Here is a 25,904-nt window from a genome sequence, read left to right on the forward strand (position 1 = left end):
TGCAGTATCTGCAGTTCTAAAGAGCAAAAATCCAGAATCAGTTTCACTGGACTAAAAAAAAGGTGTTGGCAGGCTTGTGTTCTTCTGGCAGCTCTAGGGTGAGAATCTGTTTCCTTGTCTTTTCCAGTTACTAGAGGCCACGCACTCCTTGGTTAGTGCCCCTTCCTTCATGTTCAATGCCAGCAGTGTAGTAACTTCTGTCTTCTCTGATTCCTACTTCCATCTTTACATCTTTTCTCTCTGAATCTAATACTGTTACCTCCCTCTATATGGACTGTATGATTACACTGGGCTCCCCTGGAAAATCCAGGAACCCTCCCACCCCCCCATTTTAAGATCCTTAACTTAATCACAACTGCAAAATCCATTTCCATCCTTTCCTGTGTAACATATTCACAGGTCCCATGGATTAGGATATGGCATTTTGTCGGGGCTGTTATTTAGCCTACTACAGCTAATATCTAAAATTTTCCCTCATACTGGCCAGACTTGCTAGAGAGTCTCCAGCTGGGAAGGTCAAACTCTGACTGGCCACCAGCGTTCTGAGATCTGAGTGGGTTAAGAGGGCTTTGTGGGAGGAGTGCCTCAGCATTCATCCTTCAGGATATACCAGTTACTTAATTCTTCTGATTTTGGGGTTTATATTCATATCTTTAGTGAATCTAGTTTCCTTCAACTCAGAGAAGACCGTCTATTTTACCCTGCCCAGAGAATTTTCAGATGCCAGTCACTTCCCAGTGGCATGGAGAGGAGAAAAGATGCAGGGACTCACAGAATTCCTGTTTTAATGGTCTTCCTTCACTTCCAGGTCCAGAGGGCTCTGATACTATCAATTTGGGAGTCTCTGGAAAATTCTGAAGTATAAATCAGGTTAGTCTTCAGCTTCCCCCACTGACAGCTCAGGATTCTCATGTTTCTTGGGTTGGTTTGATCAGTTACCTGTCATCAATATGTTTTGTAGCTTCCAAAATTTTATTGCTTTTGCCACCTCTCCTAATCTCCCCATATTTGTGGTTTTATGTCTTAAAAAAAACTTTTATTGTAAATTTAGTGTGATTTTAGGCAGCAGTGAAATTTGTGTGTGTGTGTGTGTGTGTGTTTTCATCTTAACCCAGATAAAGCATTTTATCTGAATTGATTAAGTTCCTTGGACTGACTAGGCATGGGGTGATCTCTGACCTGGGTAGCCAGGCACCACACCCAGTGCTCTTTCTAAAGTAAAAAGATTTCAGTGGCCAGGTTTGTGTATCTTGCCCTGCCTGTCCAGTTGCACACACTCAAGCATGACTCGTTAACTTAATTTCCTGCCATATATCTCGGTTCTTCTAGAACTGGAATCTTGTCCTTAATTTTCAGCTTCATCTCACAAAGCAGGAAGGAGAGCTAGCAGGATTGTTTCTGAATACAAATAGTTATGATTTTCACAGTAGTAACCATGGATTGCCCCTATTCCTTATAGCTTTCCAAAGGGATGGAAATGTATAGGCCAGAGGCAGGGGTTTTAGGAATCTGAATATGATGTCTGTTAAGCTCACAGTCTCCAAGCATGTGACAAAAGGTAAGGCAGTGCTGGCTTCTTGTGCACTTTGTCTAGCCTAACAATGCCTACCTACCTTCACCTTCTTTCTCTCCCAAAATGGCTGACCCTTTGCTGTCCCTGTAACCCTATGACCTTTCTCCATCCCCTTCCCTTTCTGTTGTTTTTGTGGCATTTCCATGTCCCCACCATCCCAAATCTGCTCCAACTGCACCTGGGTTCTGATTTAAGTCAACCAGGCACTAAGAACTTTACATGTTTGAACTCAATTAATCTTCACAACAACCCTATTATTATTCCTGTTTTACAGACTCAGAAACTGTTGCACACAGAGGTTAAGTAAACTTGACCAAAGTCACACACCTAATAAGGCAGAGCCCAGATTTGAACCCAAGCAACTTGACTCCAAAGTACATCTTTATTCCACTGTGCTATAGGCCACTTATAAATCATATCCATGGCCAAATACTGTTTTCTGATATGTATATCAATAAAAGTATAAAATTACTCTCTCTATATATTCATTTAATCCTCACGGCAACCCTAAATCAAGCAAACAACCAAACAGAATATTGAAGACCTGAACAAAATTAACAACTTGACCTAATTTTAGTATGCATATAGAATTCCGCCCTCAATATTTGGAGAAAACATATACTTTTACAGCACATAGAACATTTACAAAAAGTAATCATAAAAGAAATCTTAAAAACTTTCAAATTATCGGAATCACACAGACCACTTTCTACGATCATAATACAATTGAGTTCAAATCATAAAAATATAACATAAACTCATATGCTTGGAAAGTTTTTGTTTGTTTGTTTGTTTGTTTGTTTGTTTGTTTGTTTTGAGATGGAGTCTCACACTGTCATCCGGGCTGGAGTGCAGTGGCACAATCTTGGCTCACTGCAACCTCCGCCTCCAGGGTTCAAGCGATTCTCCCGCCTCAGCCTCCCGAGTAGCTGGGATTACAGGCACCCACTACCATGCCCGGCTAATTTTTTTGTATTTTTGGTAGAGACAAGGTTTCACTATGTTGGCCAGGCTGGTCTCGAACTCCTGACCTTGTGATCTGCCCTCCTCGGCTTCCCAAAGTGCTAGGATTACAGGCATGAGCCACTGCGCCCAGCCATATACTTGGAAATTTTAAAGCACATTAAAAATCTCATGGATCAAAAAATAAATCATAAAGAAAACTAGAAAATATTTATAACCAAACAAGGAAAATGCAACATTTTAAAACTTGTGAGATTCAGCCAAAGTGGTAATTAAAGAATGTCTAGTCTTAAGTGCTTATTTTAAGAAAAAAAGAAAGTTAGAAAATCAATAAGCTAGGTATTCTATTTAAGAAGTTAGGAAAATAACAATGAGATAGAAGCAAGGAGAACAGTAGATAAATAATAAGTGCAGAAATGCATAAAACATAAATCATTCTCAATCAGGATTAGCTCATAATACTCTCAGAATTAAAAAGTGGAAAGATTATTTCTGGAAAGGGTAAGAGAAGGCCAGTCATATACATACCTATATATATTTTCTATTTTAACTCCTTAAATGAATTTTACAGAAAGAATTAGAGGACCATTGCTTTTTAAATGACATTTATTTTTTCTAATAATTCAAGTACATAACACATTTTCAAAGGGAAATTTGAAAATACTGAACAATGTAAAGAAAAGAGATAGAACTTATAGTCCTATCATTAGGAGATAATTATTAAGTATTAACTTGTGCGTACTTATGCTTTCTTTTTTCAGCCTATAGCATCTGGTCTCCCATCCAAGTAATAACCTGGATCAATCCTGCTTAAGTTTCCAATATTAGGCATTTTCAGGGTGTTGTGACCACAGATGATGTAACTATTAACTTTTAAATATTTTTCTGGTCTTTACATATCTCAAGGTTTATACATGTCTACATGTAATTATATGGTTACTTAATTAAAAATTTGGGCTCAAACTGCATACATATATTTGGTTTTTGAGTTTTTTTTCCTTTTTACTTTGAATTCACGAGGATATAAAACACATATTCAGCTTTTTTTGTATTCAGCTTTTTTTTACTTAAAATTGCATGATTAGCATATACTCTTCAAATATAGAATATTTGGTGGCTGTGTTAAAATTTAATTTTCCTGATAGAGGTATCATGCTGCATTTGGCTGTACCCCTGATGTGTCCAATGCTGTGGTGGAGTCATTCAGCAAACATCTATTAACAGTCCATTCAACGTACGGTGCCATGCTGAATCTAAACAAGAGATAGACAGTCTGAAAGTATATAACAAACTGATGAAGTGGACCTTCCAGAAGTCTGTTTACAAGAGGGCTGAGGAGACTTTGAGAGAATTTTTAACAAGATGGTCCTAGATATGACTAGCTTATGGACTTGATAGAGAAATCCTGGGCTGTCAGAGGGGAGAGGTCACTCTGAGTACAACATGGTGTCTGTAGCTTGGGTTTGCCTCTTGGTCCAAGTCCTTCAGACCTCATATTTAAGTTCTTTGGAAAGTAGAGTGTTATTGAATGAAGCTCTGTAAAACTCTGGAGCCTAAGCATCTTTGTCTTAGCATCCCTCCAACCCAACATCTAGAAAAGGGAGACTTCATTTGGATCGTTTTAGTTGCAATAAACAGAGCTGCACTGATTTAGTCGGGGGTTTACTGAAATGATCAGCACAGTGACAAAGAAGAAAGACTATCTAGGAATCCAAGAACAGAAACCAGGCCTAGGGTACACTGTTCATTGTGGGCAAAGGCAGTTTTAGGAGCTTTTGGAGTAGAAGTTCATGTATCTTCCTTTTAATATGATACCATTATTAACATGAACCAGATACTCTCTGAATGTTGGCTTCCTTCTTCATCCTTTAATCATTTTTTGATGGTAATGGTCCGGTTGCTTCATTCTTGGCTTCCTAGTTCAAATTCTTATGCTTGAATAACCACCAGTCTTGTTTGGACAGTGTTTTACTCCAGGCTAAGTCAGAGGCCATTAGCAAGACAATAGGCTGCCCATGACTCTGGGGCCTGCCCCAGTTCAGTCAGCTGGGCCCAGAGCATGAAGGTCATGCGGTGTATAACATGGCTTGCTTTCAAGATGCTTGTTTCAGCAAAGGCTGTGAACAAGGCTTAAAGGGGGCTGTTGGCACAGCAGGCATCAAGGAGAAAGATATTCTCTTCCGTATCCCCCCAGCCTACTCCCTGGCTTTGGCACAGAGCAGGTGTTGACAGACCATTGTTGACAGTGTCCATGGAGGAGACAAATGGGGAAATGGCAGAAGTGTTGAGGCCCAGTGCACCTGTGATGGAAGCAGTGCTCAGCAGGGTAACTACAGGAAGCAGAAAACCTGGTATGAGCATTCAACACTGAGTGCCTACTGGCTTCACTGTGTGCTGGGTCCTATGCATGGTGGGAAATATATAAGATGTGGCTACTGTCCCCGAGGAAGACATGGCATGTATAGGTGGAAAATTTGTAAGTGTTCTACTTTTTAATTACTTTAAAAATAAATATAGGTACTGGTAACTCCCCCTGACACAGGTATTGACTGGTCAGTGGTCATTTTCTCTTGCCCATTGAGCATGTTCCCTAGCTGCTCACTTATTTTAAGGCTACCTCTTCTAGTCCATCACACTCACCCTCAGGAGTCAGAAAGGAAGAGCAAGAGTTTAGATTGTATAAGTTTATATAAAACTCTTTTTGGCTCATCTATATCACTACTTTCCTCATTGAATGTTGATGGAAGTGTCATTTCATGATGTTTGCAAATAATGTTGAGGAATGTGGAAAGAGCATATGCCTTAAAGTTTGGAAAAATAAAAAAATTTTAATAGTGAAAATATGAGTTTAGAAAATATTTATAGTAAAACATATTCAATAAAGAAATCTTGGAAAATATAGAAAAGTGGGAAGAAGGGTCATCAATGCCCCAAACCAAGCATAATTGGCATTTTGTTATATTTCCTTTTAGATTTAGTTTTCATCCTAAACTTTGACTATTAGTGTTTCATTTGCTTTAAATAGTTATATAGTAAACATGAATTTGTAACCTGCTTTTTGATGTAGCATTATTCATAATTTTAAAAACATCATTTGTAATGACTGTAATTTTACAACCATGTAGTACTCTTTATTTTTTATTTAATTTTTTTTTTAATATCAGAAAACATTTACAGTATGTACCACTCTTTACTTAATCCTTCCTCTGAGTTTAGAATTTTGGGGTGTTTCCAATTTTCCAGAATATTAAATAATGTTGCAATATACATATTTGCATAAAGGTTTCTCTCATATTCTTATTTACTTCCCTAGTACAGATTCTTGGAAATGGATTTGTTTGATCAAAGGGCAGAAGTATTTCTGAAGTTTCTGATGCATATTACTTAAAAAACATACTAAATGGAAGGGTGGTATACTTGCATGTGCAGTGAGGACTGCAAATTTTTTACAAATAAACACCAAATGCAGAAAGCACCATCATTTCAATATTGCCCTCAAGTCTACACAGTTGATATAATATTTAGATAGATGGCCATGTCTTGATAATGGAAAACATTTTGTCCTTATTCAAATGATTCCAGGCTATAGGAAAAAAGGAAAAACAAAGTGATTAAAGTTATAAACTTGGCTTGATTAGTAATCCGTAATCCAGATAGCAACTTAAACTTATATTTCATATTCAAAATATGATAGAACAGAAAAAACATCTCTTAGAAATTGCTAGGAAAGGTATTACACATTCTGTTGTTAAACAAAATACAAGCCATCTAAATTCATAATTTTTCTTCACTCTGGACTTCTTGATAGCAGTTTCAACCATAACTAAATTAACATTAGTATTTTAGCAGACGAAGTAGAAGTAGTTTCAATGGGATAAATACATATTTCCCTTCTTCTTCAAAAGCACTCCTATGCACTCGAGATAAAGGTTCATTAGTTGAATGTAGCAGCATTCAGAAGAGAAGTTATTTCAATGAGATAAGGTTCTGAGCCTTTGCTTAACTTATGAACAGGGAAATTCTTGATAAATGGTAAAATTTCATCATGCTTTGAGTTATCTCTATGTAGAACACTAAAACTTTGCTCATTCAAAACACTTATGAAGCCTTACCATACAACAAGAAATGCAGATTTTACAATTACTGAGTTGATTCAACCCTTATAGATAAGCCAAGACACATTGGGATATCAGAAAAAATTGAGATATTAGAGCTTGAATAAAGATGAGGGCAATAGAAATGGGGGGAAAGTGATGGAATTCTAGAGTCTTTTCAAAAAGCCTCATTGAATCCTGGGAAGTGGGGGAAATATGGATGAGCTACAGGTGCCCATGAGAATCTGTTACCTGGAAGATCACTGAATAGCTTCCACACAGTATCTTGGATAGTTGCATGACTACTCTGATGAGGCAGATGATCACTTGAAGCCCACTGAGGGTTATGAGAATGGAAAATAAAATGATGTTCCACTCCACAACATGTGCAGGTTCCAGGCACTGAATCCATATGCTAGAATCTGTAAGGAAACTGAGAGAGACCCATGGCCAAATCTACATACTGGGTCCAAGGAAGAAAGCTACAAGCATTTGTATGTTTGAGAAATTACTGTATAACTAAAATATATAGTTATTAGATATGAATTAATACATTTTAAAAACCATTCAGATACACATATTGGACATATCTTATGCATAGCACTGAGCTAGATACTTAGTGTGTTATAAATGTTGTGCTTGCCTTATCACCCCCATGGCCTCTTTGTTTTTCTTTCTCCCTCTTCCATTTCTTTCCTACTTCCTTCTTTTTTACTCTTTCCCCACCTTTATTTATTTTCTACTTTCTAATGCTCCAGGAAATAGAGGCACTCTGAGAATTTCTTTATATTGTTAATGGCTCTTGTCTCCAATGGGAAAGAGCACAGAATATGAAATCAGAATTCCTGGATTTGGGTCTGCAGGATGTTGAGCAAAGAACTTTACCCCTCTGGCCTCCAGACTTTTTTTTTTTTTTTTGAGACGGAGTCTTGCTCTGTCGCCCAGGCTGGAGTGCAGTGGCGCATCTTCGCTCACTGCAAGCTCCGCCTCCCTGGTTCACGCCATTCTCCTGCCTCAGCCTCCCAAGTAGCTACAGGCACCCGCCACCACGCCCGGCTAATTTTTTGTATTTTTTTAGTAGAGACGGGGTTTCACCGTGTGAGCCAGGATGGTCTCGATCTCCTGACCTCATGATCTGCCTGCCTCACCCTCCCAAAGTGCTGGGATTACAGGCATGAGCCACCGCGCCTGGCCCTCCAGACTCTTATCTTGATAATGGGGTTAAAATATCTAACCCCAGAGTTATTGTGAATATTTGGTAAGAATGTGTATACAAACAGTTTGGAACCTGTAAAGTACAATACAGATGTGGCTTTCTGTTAAATTTCCCTAAACCTATCTCATACCCCCATTTACCCCTATCTCCATCTCAGCTGCCAGGGAAATGAGTCCCTCCAGATCCCTCCTCTAGACTGTTCCTAGTACATGCTCTGCACAGATCATCTAGCAATTTAAAACAAGATGACTTGCAATGTTGCAGGAAGTCGGGGACCCCAAATGGTGGGACTGGCTGGAGCCGCGGCAGAGAAACATGAATTGTGAAGATTTCATGGACATTTATCAGTTCCCAAATAATACTTTTATAATTTCTTATGCCTGTTTTTACTCTAATCTCTTAATCCTGTTATCTTCATAAGTTGAGGATGTACACCACCTCAGGACCACTGTGATAATTGTGTTAACTGTACAAATTGATTGTAAAACATGTGGTTTGAACAATATGAAATCAGTGCACATTGAAAAAGAGCAGAATAACAGAGATTTTTAGGGAACAAGGGAAGACAACCATAAGGTCTGACTGCCTGTGGGGTTGGGCAAAAAGAGCCATATTTTTCTTCTTGCAGAGAGCCTATAAATGGATATGCAAGTAGGAGAGACCTGAGGGAGAGTCATGTTTGCTAAGAAAGGTCATGGTATATGGCACCATGTAAAAATCTTCAGAATGAAGGCAGCTACAGTCACAGAAGCAGCTCTGCCATGTAGGCCTAGATGCACATGTAAGACCTCAGATGGACATGGGCCTTGAACAATAAAGCTAATCATGGAGAGTTGAGAAGAAAATTTAACTTCCCCCAGTGAATGGTACAGACATTCCCTCATTTTACTCCATTAGAATTCTGGACCTCTTCTGTATTTCTTTCTGGGCCCTGCTACCTCCTAATCTGCATCTGGTGCTGGGAACCCAATAAGCCCAGCACAATGCCAGTGTGAGGCATTCTGAGATCCGGGATTGGGTTGTGAGACTCCTGACTGAATTACTAGCCTTCTGAGCAAGGCTACCTCTTTAGACCCTTCTCCAGTATAAGCTGCATAAGCTCTGGCTCATTCCACAAACTCCTGCACCTAATCATGTTCCTGGACCTCAGACTGTACTTTCCTGCTCATCCTGCCTTGTTCTATCTCTTTATCATCCCTCCTACTATAGCCCTGAGTGGCACCATCCAAGAGCACCATGGTTTCTCTCCTCCTCAAGCCCTTTTACACTTGTAACAGACCACATGTCCAACCTGGCCATAAAACAAAACTGAGTTCCTGGATCCACCCAGTCCATAAGCTCCAGCTGTTACCAGACCAGACCATAGTAACCACACAACTTTAATCTGAGGTATGGGAGAAACACACCTTTCATTTGGATAGCTCCATGACAACCTCAAGACATTGAATGAAAATGGCATTAAAAGACTGAAGAAAAAAATCTAAACAAAGATCTGTGCAAGAACAAATTGGTCTGGATATTAGTAAACTAACAGGGAAATTCTGCACTAAAACAGCCACATGGAACCCCAAAGTGATCATGGAAAATGAGCGTGAGCTTGAGCATGAGGCAAGGTGTTTCTGATTTTCCGACCTCCTTGGTTTGGGGAATTATTCCTTACCGTCCAGCAGTGCCTTCAAAAGCATACTCCCAGCCATCAAGGGTGCGGCAATATGGCCCTTGGACAAGACCCAAGGCAGAGATGACCAGGCAGTATCCAGAAAAAGCAATTCCGAGGGAAGAAAAGATAATTGACAGCAGTGTCTAAATTAAAACATAGAAGCAGGTTAGTACCATAGAATGCGACAAGGGGATATTGTGGATAAATTATCAGATAGCTACATTCCCCTATTCACCCAAGCTCATGCAGTCTATACAATACTAAATGCCCACATAGAAATAAAAAAAAAAGTAATCCAAACCTATTTGATCTTAAAAATAAGCTTTTAAATAACGTTTAGTTTGGCATCACATAGAGGTAACTAGGTAATTTACTAAATTTATTCTTTCCTTGTGGAATTTTGATATCAAAATAATGATCTCCTCTTATGAAAATGCAGTGAAGGATGTGATCAATCAACCCATAACTATCTATTGAAGACCTGTTATTTTCTAGGTAGAGTGGGTTCTCTAAGAATTATAAGCTATGACCTCTGCTTTCCTCTTATAAAGATATTAAAATATCTTTACAACAATATAAAGGAAAATGTCAGGTATAGTATTGAAATTTATATTCATATTCAAGTGACGATAGGATTGATGGAGAGGGGGGTGTTTTCATTTGAGTAGAGAGAATGGGTGTTATTCACAGGCAGATCAGTGCAACCAGAGTTGTGAGAAAGTAGGTTTAATCTAAGAGGGGTTTATTCAGATGAGTGAGGAGAAAGGCTCTGAAGACAGATTGACATGGTACTAATGCTGGGAAAACAAGGTTGATAGGGCACAATTCAGCCCTTGAGTAGCTTAAAAAGTGAGTACAGCTTGGTAGATCCAGGCCAGAGCTGGCCTTGAATGCCAGGTTAAGAAATCTGGACTTTATCCTTCAGGGCAAGGGACTTCCCTCCTCCCAACCTTAAAAAATGTCAAATCTACAAAAAAGTTGAAAGTATAGCACAATAAACCCCTACATATCCTTTATCTAGAATCACCTACATGAATATTTTACCATATTTGTTTGTGCTTTCTCTCTTTCTCTGTGTGTATGTGTGTATATATTCATGCAAAGTATATATGTACACCTGTACATATATACAAATATGTATTTATTATGTGTTTTTGTTACTGAGCCATTAGGTTGCAGACATTATGATATTTCACCCCTAAATATTTCAGCATACACCTCCTAAGAATAAAAACATTCTATTATTTTGTAACTTTTAAATTTTTTTTGTACAGGATCCAATAAAGGTTTATGTACAAGACTACATCTCTTTAGTTTCCTTTAATTTACACTAGTCTTTCTGCCTTTTTGTTTTTTGGGGTGTTAAACTGTTTTTAAGAATCCCTGACAGTTGTCTTGTAGATGTCTCACATTCTGGGCTTTTCTGATTATTTTCTCACAATTGAATTCAAACATTTTAGCGAGAATACTTAATGGGTGTGGTGTACATTGTGGGCCTTTCATGCTAAGGGTGGTGCTAAGTTTGATCTCTTGGTTAAGAGTATCCTTCAGATCTCTTCCCTGGATAGGTACATTTTCCTCTTGGCAATTAGTAAATAACTGCCAAGGTGATGCTTTGAGACAGTGTCATATTCTGTTTCTTAATAACATTTCAACTGATGGATTTAGCATCCACTGATGATCCTCATATTCATTGATTACCAGCAATCACTGTGGTTCCAATGTGCTGCTTTCATAATGCTATAATTTATCTGCATTTATGTTATCATTTTTCTGCACAGAACAACTTCCATTTCCCATTCCTCTCTCCTTTGCCTCTGTCTATATTTTCTGGACTCACAGATCTTCTAATTCATTGTGCTATAATCCATAAATGCGATTATTCTTTTAGATGCACAGATGGTCCAAATTCGGCCAATGTGAACATCCCTGTAGGTCAACTCCTATGCCCTTTGACATACTCATGTCATTCTTTGAACATTTTCTTGCTTTCTGGCACAAGATGTTCCAGGTTCATTTTGAGCTTACCCTGCCATAGACCTGGAAGAAGCTGGGGTTTTGTTGTTGTTGTTGTTTTGTTGTTGTTTTTGAGTTGTAGTCTCACTCTGTCACCCAGGCGGGAGTGCAGGGCCTGATCATGGCTCACTGCAACCTCCACCTCCTGGGTTCAAACGATTCTCCTGCCTCAGCCTCCTGAGTAGCTGGGACTACAGGCACGTGCCGCCACGCCTAGCTCATTTTTGTATTTTTAGTAGATATGGGGTTTCACCATGTTGGCCAGGCTGCTCTCAAACTCCTGACCTCAGGGGATCCACCTGCCTTGGCCTCCCAAAGTGCTGGGATTACAGGCATGAGCCGCTGTGTCCGGCCAGAAACTATTTTTTAAACAAGTCTTGTAATTGGTTTTTGAGCAGGAAGTGATATGCCCAAAATGTGCTTTTGGAAGATTGCTCTGGCAGTGGTCACACAAGCTGGAAGTAAGAGACCTCAAAGATAAGGATCCAGCTTGGAGACAGATGCAAGTTGAGGTGACAAAGACACACATTGGAGGAAAACACATTAAGGAGGAAATGAGTAGCTGGAGATGAAAAAAAAAAAAAAATCCAGAGCTGGGGCTTGGATAAAAAGGAGACAGAAATAAGGATACCAAGAAAGGTTATTTGGTTTGGGGGAAAAATTAGCTTTAGAAATGTTGATTGCAGGGTGAGAGTAGGCAGCAGAATAGTAACATGCAGTAACCAATTGATAATAAATTCAAAAGCTGAGACCAGAAAAAGTAAGACCAACAAACCTGTGATTTTAGGAATAAAAATCATCTCAATAACATTTCTTTGTTTAAAATTATTTCACTGAGTATGACATTAATATATCCTCTTTATGGAAAACTGGAAAAAATATTCACTGGGAAGATCAGTGAAGAATTTCTTCATTGGGGGAAACTGGCAGCCATAGCATACACACACATGCACACGCACACACTACAATCTAATGAGTGGATACCATTGCACTATCAAGGTAAGCCTCAAAATAAAGTGGGAATAAGAATTTGAATCATAGTTTTCTTTTCTGTAAACTGTAGATGATGTAGACAGGAATGGTACCTATGTGACAGGGCAATTTCAAAAATAAAATATAATAAAATATTAGCTATTATTTCAAGTGCCCTTATTTGGCCAATATTTGCTTTCCAGGAATAATTGTCCAAGAATTTTGGCAGAAAACCAGACTCCATGCAGGAATGGAGAGTGCCTTAGTTCCTGCTGCTATAATAAAAATACCTTAGACTGAGTAATTAATAACAGAATTTTATTATTCACACTTCTGGAGGCTGGAAAGTCCAAGATCACTGGCAGATTCAGTGTCTGGTGAGGGCTCATTCCTCATAAATGGCACCTTCTATGTGTCCTCGCATGGTGCAAGGGAGGTAAGAGTACTCCCCTCAACCCCTTTTATAAGGGCACCACTCTCATTCATGAGGGAAGAGCCATCATAACTTAGTCACTTCCAAAAACATCCCACCTCTTAATATCGCCACAGTGAGAATTAGGTTTCCATGTGAATTTTGGAGGAACACATTCAGGCCATAGCAGATAACAACCAAGAAATGAATCAATTTTTATTACATTTTGGAAGTTACAAACTGATGCAGATTCAGTTTTTCCCACAATATGTACTTTGTTTGGTTTAAATGAAGATTAATTGCCAATATTTTACAATTGAAAAGTTTTACATAAAAATCCATATTTTTACTTTCTACTGAAAACTGAGAATTATTGCCCTACTTGATCATGGCAACAACTGGCTGGACTTCAGTAGCAGCTCCTTCTCCTCCTTAGATGGAAATTGTGCTCTGATGCCTACCAGGCTCATTTAATTCATTTATGTCACACACGTGGCTTCTGGGGGCATTTGAATTGGGACTTCTCTTCTAGAACTTACCTTGAAAAGGCCAAAAAGGGAACCCGGAGAATCCTCTCTTTCTTTCTCCTGCTGTTCCCAATGAGATGTTAGTCATCTAATTTAATGCTGATTATAAGACCCTTTTCAGACTATTTCTAGCATCTATTTGTGCTAGAAGTGCTAATAGTGAGTTAAGGCAAATTGAACATGTGAATTTTTATTTTACACTTAATATCACATATATTTGTTTTCTAGAAATTCTCTGAGTATCATAACTTGAATCTATACCTGAATTTATTATTTCCCCTAGGCAATTTTGAAATCTCTTCCATAAGTATATTACAAGTAGCTACTGGAGGATGACTGAGTCAACTGGTCACACACACACACACACACACACACACACACACACACACACGAGTGTATTTTAAATTTTCAATTCTTCTCCATAAGGGACACAGTACTAAATAAAGCAACGAATTTAATTTTTAAAAGACATTGGTCAAAGAAAATTTGCCATACAATCTTGACTACGCATTGAAATATCCTGGGGAGATTTAAAACATATCCATGCCCAGGTTGTACCTCAGACTAACTAAATCAGGGACTCTGGGGATGGGATTTAGGCATTAGTGTTGTTCCAAGCTCCCAGGTGATTGCAATATGAAGCTAACAGGTAGAAGCACTGCTGCAAAAAATGCCTACCAGATATCATCATAAAACTCCTCCTAGCTAATAATCACTTGTTCTCTTTGAGCCACAAGTGCTTCATCTATAAAATAGGAGCAATAATGACTTAATTCACTGAGTAAATGTGAAAGAACTATAAAGTGCTATGCAAGTGTGAATAAACGATGAAGAGGAGGAAGAGGATGAGAAGGAGAATGGTAGAAATGCAGGAGCACTGGCTTAGAAAATGCGGTTGTATTATTCACCCTGATACTATTTTAATTATTTTTCAAGTGCCAACTTAGAAAATGCACATCACATACACCCAACAATATGGATGAATCTAAAAATTATTATCCTGGATGAAAAAACCCAGATAAAAAAGACAAATATTGTATGATTCCACATATATAAAATACAAACTAATCTATAATGACAAAAAGTAAATCAAAGGTTAATCTTTGGGGGTTGGCAGAAATATTCTGTTATCTTGACTGCAATGGTGGTTTCATGAGTGTAGTCAACTGTTAAAACTCATGATATTGCATAATTTTAATGGATGCCACTTATTATATGTAATTTAGCCCTCAATAAAGTTTGTAAAGAAAAAATAGACTAATGGAAACTTAGTTAGGAAAAAAAAGTATTATTTCCTAATTTTAGGTATCTTTAAATGCTGATTTTCTGAAAGTGCATCAGTAGAACAAAAGTGGAGGAAAGACTAAGCAAAATGGAAGATGATCTTGGCAGTAAACTCTTGATCTCTGTACTGTACTCAACAGTAGTGAGGGTATAATACTGTCAATATTTTTGTGTTTCTGAGTGAGAGGAAAGAAAGCTGGAGCCCACTCAACCATCCTCAAAAAAACTGTTGCTCTTACCACATATTTTTTGCTGCAGTTTTCACTCTGGCAACATTTATAGTTGTTATTATTCTCCAGTACCAGAAGAACTGTTGTTACTATAAGCATCTATAGGAGGGAAGACATAAAATGTTAGCAATGAAATGCTAGTTTACATTTGTGCTTATAATCAGAGGACAGCGTCTTCAAGCATAGAGTCTGGGGTCAGGTAGATATGGATTTGAATCCAAGCTCTGTCACTTTCTAGCTGTGTGAATTTGAGACACCTTCTGTATAAAATGGTATCAAGAGATCGTCACGAGGTAATATATGTGACATTTTGAGTATAGTGGTTGATTCATAGTGACTGATAAATGTTAGCTATTATTATCATGGTTAGCAACCATCAAAAGCTAATGATTAAGGAGAAGTAAATGGATGGACAGGAGAATACCACCCTGGGCAGCAAAACCTGCCTTTCTCAATGACTCAGTTGTGGAGAACCAAGGAAAATCATTCAGCAGGCTTGGTAGTTTGCCAGCCTCTCTTCATTTACTGTCCTCTGGGAATGGAGGTGAGAGGCTCAGTTAATCTGAAACCATATCTCTTTAAAGTGACTTCAATTTCCCCATGCATTCAAACCATCTCAGGTTTAAATTGTTTCAATGTGTTTTGTCTGTATCAAGCCAACAAAGTGGGAGAATCAATGCATCTTATTTCCTTTTTTTAAATTTTATTTTAGGCAAAAGGCCAGAGCTCTGGAAAGAACATGTATTTCTTTACCATTATAATTTCATTATAATTTCTGGTTAGACTAGATACAGATCATGAATTGCTTATGGGAAATTCTCCACCCATTTTTTTACTCTCACTATTTAGGACTGAATCCCACAGCTGAGTTCACTGTTATTTTACTCTTCGTAGCCAATGTTTCTAGTTTCCAAATTTCTTCAGCTTTCATTAATTTTTTTGTTCATTTAATTATTTACCTATATTCTTCTCCTTTCTCCTAAAAGGATTTGATGCAGTTATAGTAATATATTTTAATAATTCCTGGAAGATGAAAAAAATAGAGAACAGGTTTCTTTTCCTAGTTTTAATTTTTACATGGAATATAAGCAAAAGAGTCCTATATTCCCCTCCTTTCCACATCGTTAGTTATGACAGATTGAAAGAAATTCTGGTCTAATCTTAGTTATGTCTTGCAACTCTTCCATCTATTGCAATTGCATATTGAGGGAAACAATGATGAGACAAGGCCAAAGCATAGTAACCAGCTTCATTACAATATTGATAGAGATAATTTGACCTAGAGCCTGTAGTCTTATTGCTCAGGCATCAACTGTTGAAAGAGACACTGCCTTCTTTTTTTGTTTTAAAATATAACTGCAATACAGAGGAGTCAAGAATAATGGAGGTAAAGTACACATAATTCCACCACCCTCGTGAGTCTTCATGCATTTATTTCTGGTGTTTTCCCACATATGTCTATTTGACACAGCTGCAATAGTAATTTACCCACAATGTTATTGTGTCTCTTTTCACTTAACATGAAATAATGTGCATTTTCCACGTTGTTACATCTTCATAATTATAATTTTCACCACTGTATGAAGTGAATGTACCATAATTTATTTTGCTACTTCTCTGTAAGATGCTTCTTCTAGTTATTTACTATTATACCAATGCAGCCACAAACATCTGCACACATAGCTCTTCCCTTATTTTGGATGATTTCCTCAGAAAAAATGATGAGATGTAGGATTACTGAGTCAAACGACATAAGCATTTTCATGGATCTTGATATATTATACCAAACTCTTCCCGAAAAGACTGACATTTATTTGTAGTGCAGCCAATATTAGTTATGTACTTATTTCATAGCAACATCAATAGCATTGGATATTAATATTTTAAAGTTTATTAATTTAATGTGCAAAATGAATAACTAAATGAAAATTGCTTTACAACACAGCTATTCAAATATAATAATTAAAAACCCCTAAAAGATGTAGAAATAGATTATAATGAATTTTCTTCTACATTATTGGTGGTCTGATTAGCTTACAGTCCATAATGCACTATTTTTAGAAATGACTTGACCAGGAAATTGTCTTTTCCTCTGAGTTGCCAACATGATTTACTCTCAGTTTGTTTATTTTTAAAGAACACAAAGTCATCAGGAAAACGTTCATGGATTCTTGCCATTGATAATTCAATTTACTTTTCAAAAACTCCCTCCATTATTAGGGTCTAATGTAGGACTATTTTAATGATGACACAGCTCATTCTTTAATAATCATAATTACAACAGTCACTGGCTATCTACTACATGTCAGTCTCTCTCCTGGGCACTTTATATATATTTTATCTTTAAAAGTAAATGCCATTATTCACATTTTTCACATTAGAACACTGAGGCTCAAAGATACTGAGTAACTTGCTGAAGGTCTCATGGAACAAATGACAGAGCTTAGATTTACATGCAGGTTTGTCTGAATAGCCAAGTCTCTGCTTTTTTTTCATGCTGTCCTAATGCCCCTTCAAGCTAGAAAAACATGAGTGCAGACAGAAAATCTGTTCTAGAAAACAGTAATGCCACTGAAGATCAAATAGCTTAAATTGATATGCAGGGTTCATGAGAACATACTGTTTTTACAGGCCAGTGTCCCACAGACTTTCATTAGGACTAATTTCCTGCATTACTGAGGCTGCATTGCTGAGCAGCTTATTGAAAACAGAGCTATGTCCCAAATGCCAGCAGATTACCTGCCCCTTCACCCCCATCCCTCTTTCAAATCCTACACCCAAGATTAGCAGAATGATTTTTCCATTATTCATTACTTCTACTAGTTACAAGGTAAGTCTCAATTACAACTCCCCCTTCTCTCCCAAGTCTCCAAATTCATACTTACCATGATGCCTGAGAAACAGATTCCTTCAAAATACCACACGTAGTTGGTGAGTTTATTGCTGGATGCATAGGAAGTTTGCCCATTCGGGAAATACAATAATATGTTCACGATTATACTCCAAAGTGCAAGCGGAATCAGCAAACAACTTAGGCAGCCTCCACACTTCCGAGACCCCATTTTGCCCTGCTTAGAACCTGCGGGAGATTTCAAGAGTATACAGTCACAGAAAGTCTATTTTTCTTCTTCCTACCTGACCTTTTTTTTCTCTCTCTCTCTCTTTTTTTTTTTTTTTTTTGAGATTACCTACCACTTCCAGGGTCAGAGCCCTTCACTTCATATTCATGAGGAGACGGGGAATTGGAATATACCCGCAGCCGACAATCTCAGTGTGAAATACTGGTTTACTGTTTGGAGAACAATAGACAATGATCAACAACTGAAGAGCTGAGCTGGTCTTCATCCTGTGCCAAAGGAATGCGGTGTTTTTCACTGCTTTTTAAAATAAGTAATTTTCCTCTGGATTAAAGCACCGAAGGCTTAACCCTGACCTTGTGTTAAGAAGGAAGTTGGGGTGGGAACTGGAATTGAATGCAGCAAATTTCATCCAACAGTGGAGAGAGGGTTAAAGAGAAAACTACCAAGGAGGCTTATATTTAGAGCTTGATAGGTTTGTTAAAATATCCTGACTTTACCCTTTTTATGTATCTGTCTTTCACCTAGTGTGCTTTTTGTGTGCACACTATTCACCAAGCTTTGTTCAAATTGCAAGGGATAAGAAAGGACTGAGAAAGTGACTGGTGGATGAGAAAAACAAAATATCTTGGTTAGATCAGTACAGCTTTCCTTCCAAGAGTTTGCATCTATTATCTCTACCTCTCTGAAAAATCATAACAGAAATAAAGGCATATTTTTCCTACTATTAAGAAAACAAAGGTAGGGCTGGCGCAATGGCTCAAGCCTGTAATCTCAACACTTTGAGAGGCTGAGGCGGGTGGATCATCTGAGGTCAGGAGTTCAAGACCAGCCTGGCCAACATGGTGAAACCCCATCTGTACTAAAAATACAAAAATTAGCTGGCATAGTGCTGGGCACCTGTAATCCCAGCTACTCTGGAGGCTGAGGAAGGAAAATCACTTGAACCTGGGAGACGGAGGTTGCAGTGAGCCGAGATCGTTCCACTGCACTCCAGCCTGGGTGACAAAGTAAGACTCTGTTTCAAAAAAAAAAAGAAAGAAAGAAAGAAAGAAAGAAAGAAAGAAAGAAACTAGCAGTCCAGGTTCCAAAGAGGTTTCTTGGCACCCCCTTGTGGATATGGTTTTTTTTCCCTCTAGTGCTTTTGATCTAAGTGCATCAAAAAATCTGGGCATTAGACGTTTTTTCCAGTCACATAGAAGCAGCATAAAATCATATTTACTAGAGTTCCTGGGATGATTGGGAAGAGAATAACATTGTTGGTTGAGCATTCATTGAGCATCTCTTATGTGGCAGGCACTGTGCTTGATGTTTTAAAAGGTTCACTCTGGCTGCTGTGTTGTAAATAGGTGGTAAAGGGTGTGGAGGAGATAGAGATGAGTTCTGAAGCCATTTCCACCATCCAGGTAAGAGATAATGATGACTCGGATCATGATGGTAGTAGCAGCAGAGGTGGTAAAAGGAAGCTGGATACCAAACACCGCATATTCTCACTCATAGGTGGGAATTGAACAATGAGATCACATGGACACAGGAAGGGGAACATCACACTCTGGGGACTGTTGTGGGGTGGGGGGAGCGGGGAGGGATAGCATTGGGAGATACACCTAATGCTAGATGACGAGTTAGTGGGTGCAGAGCACCAGCGTGGCGCATGTATACATATGTAACTAACCTGCACAATGTGCACATGTACCCTAAAACTTAAAGTATAATAATAAAAGAAAAAAAAAAGGAAGCTGGATTTGGGATATATTTTGAAGCTTGTGCCAACAGGATTGGTGGCAGATTGGATGTGGGTATAAGAGAAAGAGAGAAGTCAAAGACGACATCATTTGGGCCCGAGAAACTGGGAGAATAAAATTGTCATTAACAGAAATGAGCAAGTCAGCTGAATGAGCAGGGTTGGGAGAAGAGGAATGATATGGTCAGTTTCGAATGTGCTAAGTTTTGAAATACCTTTTAGAAATCCAAGTGGAGATGTCAACTAGGCAGCTGGATATACAAATATGAAGTTCAAGGAAGAGGTCTGGGTGACATATAAATGTGACAGTTGTCAGCATATAAATGGTATTTAAACCCATGAGACACTAAGGAAATGCATGTTGATAGAAAAGAGACCCAAGGACTAAATCCTGGGCAGCCCAGGACTGAGTTTAGGGACATGAGAGGAAGGCAGAAAGGATACTGAGAAATGGCCAGTGAGCCAGAAATGAAGATCAGGAGCTTATTCTCAAAGGTGACTTTCTAAGAAGAAGAAGGCGTGATCAACAAAGTTAAATGCTGCCAAAGGGCACATCATACGAAAGAACTGAGAATCGGCTATTGGGTTGAGCAACGTGGAGGTCACTGGTGGCCTTCATAAGAGGAGCTTTCTTGGTGAGTTAGAGATGAGATGAGAGTCCATCTGCAGTGGATTCATGAGAGAATGGGAGGAGAGAAATTGGAAATAGATGAGGTAACTCTTTTGGAGAGTTTTGCTGTAAAGGAGGGCAGAGAAATGGGGCAGCAGCTAGAGGAAAAGTAGAAGTCAAGGGACAAAAATTAATGGAAAAAATGGTAGCATATTTGTATACTGTTGTGGGAAGGGGTATGAGGGAGGGTAGGTAGGTATTTACCATAAAGGAGATAAAGGAGAGGATTGCTGGCACAGGCTCCTTGAGTAGGTGAGAAAGGGTGGGAGTGTGTGAACAGATGGAGGAGCTTACCTTAGATAGCAGCAGGGCAGGTCAGTGTCAGCAACAGAACAGAAGGAGAACATAGCAATGGGCTTGGAGGTGGTTAGCGGGAACTTCTGATTATTATACTTCTGTTTTCTCAGGGAAACAGGAGGCAATTTTATCAGCTGAGAATGAGGATGGGGAGAGGGTGTTAAAGGTTTAAAGGAAGAGAGGAGAAGTTCAAACAGTTGGCTTGGAAAGTGGGAGAATGAACAGACTAGAGAAATGTGGCAGGTGCTGAGGGACCACTTGAGTCTGTGACCGTGAATGGATAGTGAGACTGGACAGGAGACTTGGGTATTTTTCCTAGTAAGGTTCAGTGGCAGAGGTGTAGCCAGCAAGTAGGAAGAAAGCTGGAGTCAACCAGGATTGGGACTTTGCCAGGCAGATACCATGAAGAGAGGGATGGGCAAAGGATTCAAGAATGTATGCAAGTGAATGGTTATAATGATGGACTGTGGAACTTAAGCTGAGTAAGGAGGGAAGTAAGGACGTGAGGGAGTGTGAGAAATAGTAAAAGAGGCACTGGATTTGTAAATTGTGTGTCCCAGTGTGGCTGAAAAATTACTGGTTTTAGGTAACACACAGAGTGAGCTAGAAAGAGAGGAAGTAGTGATTGAGAAGTGTGATGCTGGAATTTGAGATTTTAGAGATGTTTCAGGAATAGGCGAAGAAAAAGTCTGGAGGTGTGTTATGGGCTGATCATGTCTCTCCTAAATGCACATGTTGAAGTTCTAACCCCCCATAATCTCAAACGTGACTGTATTTGGATAGGGCCTTTAAAGTGATGATGAAGTTAAAATGAGGACAGCATGGTGGGGATAATCCAATCAGATTATAAAAAGAGGGAATTTGGACACACAAAGAGATTCCAGGGGTGCAAAGAGAAAAGACTGTGTGAGGACACAGTGAGAAGTGGCTATCTGCTAGCCAAAGAGAGAAAGGCCCCAGGAGAAACCAATCTGCCAACACAGATTTGGCACATAATTTACAAATCTGCTTTGAGATTTGGCACATAACTTACAAATCTGCTTTGACCTTGGAATTCTGGCCTCCAGAACTGTGAGAAAATAAATGTCTTTTGTTCAAGTCACCCAGTCTGTGGTGTTTTGTTATGTCAGTCCTAGCAGACTGACACAAGTTGTGATCCTAGGAGTGAGTAGTGTAGGGAGGTGGAGGACAAGATGACTGGTGAAAAGGAATGGAAAGGGAAGTGTATTGGAATTATCATTTATAATGAATACTAAAATAAAAAATTAGACAATGTCAGTTTGGGAGAGAATGACTACATTTAGAAAGCCAGGTGCTAGACTCTTCAAGGAATGAAAGAAAATAAGCTTGAGGGAGGATTTAGAACTAGAAATACCATTTGACCCATCCATCCCATTACTGAGTATATGCCCAAAGGATTATAAATCATGCTGCTATAAAGACACATGCACATGTATGTTTATTGTGGCACTATTCACAATAGCAGACTTGGAACCAACCCAAATGCCCATCAATGGTAGACTGGATTAAGAAAATGTGGCACATATACACCATGGAATACTATGCAGCCATAAAAAAGGATGAGTTCATGTCCTTTGTGAGGACATGGATGAAGCTGGAAACCATAATTCTCAGCAAACTATAGCAAGGACAGAAAACCAAACACTGCATGTTCTCACTCATAGGTGGGAACTGAACAATGAGAACACTTGGACACAGGAAGGGGAACATCACACACCAGGGCCTGTCGTGGGGTGGGGGACAGGGGGAGGGATAGCATTAGGAGATATACCTAATGTAAATGACGAGTTAATGGGTGCGGCACACCAACATGGCACATGTATACATATGTAACAAACCTGCACGTTGTGCACATGTACCCTAGAACTGAAAGTATAATAATAAAAAATAAACTAATTACTTAATAAATTTTTAAAAAAAGAAAGTAACCTTGAGGGGGACTGAACTGCAGGTGGGAGATGGAAATATCATCTAGCATTGAAATTTACAGTTTCTTAATCCAATAGTCACCACTCCCCTTCCCAGTGATTTTTAAGCAGAATTTAAAAAAAAATGAAAATGTTTGATTTGGCTCTTCGTTTTCCTCGATGTGAAACCTTCTCTCATAGAGGTTCTAACAGGCACTGAAACGAGAATTAAGAAAGGGTGGGAGCAGAATAATCGCTGAAGGGGGTCATTGGCTACCAGGAAACCCAGAAGTAGCTGTGTTCTACTAGACATACTTGCAAGGTTCTAAGGAGGTTTAACTTAATTGAGATTTGACTTTAAAAAAAACTTTTTATTGTCAATATTTTGCTCTTTGGAGAGCAGTGACTAAGATTACATTTTGTTAATGTTTGTGGGGAGCAGAATCATTGAGCATTGTCTGCTTTGTAAAAGTGCTGTGGCTCCCAGGAATCTTCAGTGTCAGTGAAGTGAGCTGTCACTCTCAGTCAGGGTCTCCTTCCAATTAACTACGATAAATTGACATCTATTGAGTATCTTCTATGTGGAGGCGCTGTGCTAGAAGTTTTCACATGCATTAAAAACAAAAAGCCGAAAAATGAATTCTTACAATAACACTAAGGTAAAGGCATTATTAACCCTATTTTGCATGTATAAAAAAAATGGATGTAAGAAGAAAACCGTCCTTTTTACTTTATTGTTATTTAAAAAACAATTTTGACTTTTATTTTAGATTCAGAAGGTACATGTGCAGGTTTTTTACATGGGTATGTTGCAGGATGCTGAAGTTTTGGACCATTAGGCCCCAAACCCATCACCCAGGTAGTGAGTATAGTACTCAATAGGTAGTTTTAAAGTCCATCCTTTCCTCCTTCTTCACTCTGGTGGTCCCCAGTGTCTATTATTGCTATCTTTATGTCCATGAGTGCCTAATACTTAGTTTCCACTTATAAGTGAGAACATGAGGCATTTGGTTTTCTGTTCCTGCATTAATTCACTTAGAATAATGGCCTCCAGATGCATCCATGTTGCCACAAACAACATGATTTCATTCCTTTTTATGGCTGCCTAGTATTCCATGGTGTATATCTACCACACTTTCTTTATCCTATCTACCACTGATGGGCACCTAGGTTGATTGTATGTCTTTGCTATTGTGAATGGTGCTGTGATAAGCATACGTGTGTCTTTTGGGTAGAACATGGATTTTTCTACAAAAGAAATTTAAAAACTTGCTCAGAAACTAGAAGTTAAGTCTGACTTTCACATTCTTTATGCTATTCCACCATGTTCACCCTTGCCTGATAACATTGTTGTGCATTACCCCTCTCTTCTTCATTGTAAATTGGTTTCAAATTTGGAGGTTCTAATTCCTTGGTAGTAGCTTCCTACAGTGCTATTTTGAAGGCACACTGGTTTCGGTGGGAGAGATATACAGATTAGCTAGATAGATTAGTGATGTCTGCAGTGGAGATGGGGTCAGAGAAGAACAACATGCATGGCTAGTATTCCCTAGTCTTTGTCCAGCCTCAAACGATGATGTCTCTACTGACGGTATCATGTCACAGGTTGTTATGAAGACTTGGTGAGGAAGTACATGATCAATTGTTATTTGGAAGATGGTTCCAGAAGAATGACAGAAGTGAATGAAGAGGATATTCCTGGCTGGAAAACTTGATAAAATTGTTGAAAAGGGAGTTGAGTAATTTATTTGTCTTTGGTTACCCTATTAGTGAAAACAGCTAATGAAGTCTCCCCAGATAACTCAACATTTTACTTAATTTCATCTCTAAGAAAACACTTTTAACCTGCCTCTGGAAAAAAATATGTTTGCTCATAAATAACATTCTTGAAGCCATTTGCCTCCGGTAAACTCTCAAATTTTTTTGCCAAAGAATTCTTACTAAATCAGGATTTTCTTGCTGGTCCTCCAGTAACTGGGAGGAGCCACTGGGATGCCGTGCTTGTTGGCTGCTTCTGGCCTTGGCTTCCTGTTCTCCACAGCAGAGGGGAGGAAATCCGCAGGATGCCTGCTACCAGGGGACAGGGTGACTCAGGAGGAAAGACTCCACCTAAAATAGTCGTGGTATGCAGTCTCTGAGTCACTTCACTTTGAAATCAGTTAATATAAGATCCTGGAATTAGCCCCACAGGTGACGGGAAGTGGGGAAGAAGGAAATATCTGAAAAAAAGTTTATCCAAAAGAGAAATTGTCCATGAATATGACTTTTTAACAGCAGAAAAGGCTAATATTCAGGGAGAAATTTCACCTTGAGAGTTTAAAGTAGATAAACTGTGATTTCTTCCATGGAGCATGGGCATAAAGCACTGGTCTGGGTCCAATTTAGGGACCCACTGGGAATGAATGTTTGCTTAAAAACACATTAGACAAGCAGCAGCAGGGCAGCTGTGTAAACAGAAGTGTGCTGTTTTGATGCAGTTTTCCTGACTGTTGTGTTTATAATCCTTTCTCTAGAATTATCTGGCCAAAATGTCCATAGTGCCAATAAATTCCAGGTTTATCTCTAACTAATGATAAACATTAAGCTCTTTCCCTACTGAGACAGGGAGAAGAGTATTCCTGTTTCTATTCAAAGTTCCCCAAAGCAGCTTTCTGTATTTGAAATGTCCTCTCAGACCATTGTTGAACCTCCCTTTACTCCCTTCTGACTGGCTCCCAGCCTCCTAGAATTAATTTATTTATTCAAGCTCTTCATAGTAGGGGAGGAAGGAACTGTATTCAGTCATTTATTCTTAAAACGTGTATTGAACATTTACATGATGACACATGATGACTGAGGCAAAGAACACCCATTCCTTCAAAATGCTCAGAGTCTAGTTGAGGAAATAAAAAAGTTAAACAACAAATTCGTAATACAAAATGTTGAATATCCAGTAGATTTAACCATAGGCTTTTTGAAAGACACAGGAACCTTGAATGGAGCTGGAGTTCAAGTGAGATTTCTTGGAAGTCTGGAGGACAAAACTGAGTCTTCAAGGTTAAGATGCAAGTATCTAGGTAAACTGAGCCTCAATCAAAGCTAAATGTTGCCAGGTGTGGTGGCTCATTCCTGTAATCTCAACACTTCAGGAGACTGAGGCAGGAGGATCACTTGAGCCCAGGAGTTAGAGACCAGCCTGAACAACATAGCAAGACCTCGTCTCTGCATAAAATTTTTTAAAAATTAGCCAGGCATGGTGGCA

The 25,904-nt window shown here is 38.8% G+C and overlaps 1 protein-coding gene and 1 long non-coding RNA gene across 3 annotated transcripts in view, besides 2 other annotated features; one reads left to right on the forward strand and one right to left on the reverse strand.

Moving 5' to 3' along the window:
- The window catches only part of TM4SF18-AS1 (TM4SF18 antisense RNA 1), a 48,974-nt gene extending 30,595 nt beyond the window's left edge, over positions 1 to 18,379 (forward strand). The window contains exon 2 of the long non-coding RNA NR_186251.1: positions 18,131 to 18,379. This is a non-coding gene — a long non-coding RNA (TM4SF18 antisense RNA 1). The remainder of the gene's footprint in view (positions 1 to 18,130) is intronic.
- TM4SF18 (transmembrane 4 L six family member 18) lies at positions 3,125 to 18,263 on the reverse strand. 2 transcript variants are annotated; one of them, NM_138786.4, is made up of 6 exons: positions 18,140 to 18,263; positions 17,833 to 18,026; positions 14,957 to 15,046; positions 9,507 to 9,649; positions 6,883 to 7,063; positions 3,125 to 6,119 (listed from the first exon to the last, which is right to left on the reverse strand). In NM_138786.4, the coding sequence occupies exons 2-6, from the start codon at positions 18,007 to 18,009 to the stop codon at positions 6,105 to 6,107; spliced, it is 606 nt and encodes a 201-aa protein (NP_620141.1). In that variant the 5' UTR covers positions 18,010 to 18,026; positions 18,140 to 18,263; the 3' UTR covers positions 3,125 to 6,104. The 2 variants fall into 2 exon arrangements, with proteins under 2 accessions (NP_620141.1, NP_001171652.1); NM_001184723.2 differs by lacking the exon at positions 18,140 to 18,263 and having other exon boundaries at positions 17,833 to 18,065.
- Positions 22,670 to 22,839: an enhancer, noted in NCBI's record as "experimental_65218 CRE fragment used in MPRA reporter constructs". NCBI's record gives its function as "activates a minimal promoter by MPRAs in K562 erythroleukemia cells, with activity observed for the introgressed 3:149055915 variant allele {active_cell/tissue: K562}" and the evidence as "EXISTENCE:reporter gene assay evidence [ECO:0000049][PMID:34662402]".
- Positions 24,136 to 25,335: an enhancer, noted in NCBI's record as "MED14-independent group 3 enhancer chr3:149057296-149058495 (GRCh37/hg19 assembly coordinates)". NCBI's record gives its function as "activates an origin of replication core promoter dependent on BRD2, BRD4, P300/CBP and CDK7 cofactors, and independent of MED14, by STARR-seq in HCT116 cells {active_cell/tissue: HCT116}" and the evidence as "EXISTENCE:reporter gene assay evidence [ECO:0000049][PMID:35650434]".

The sequence above is a fragment of the Homo sapiens genome, chromosome 3 (assembly GCF_000001405.40).
Source record: "Homo sapiens chromosome 3, GRCh38.p14 Primary Assembly".
In the NCBI taxonomy this organism is placed as follows: domain Eukaryota; kingdom Metazoa; phylum Chordata; class Mammalia; order Primates; family Hominidae; genus Homo; species Homo sapiens.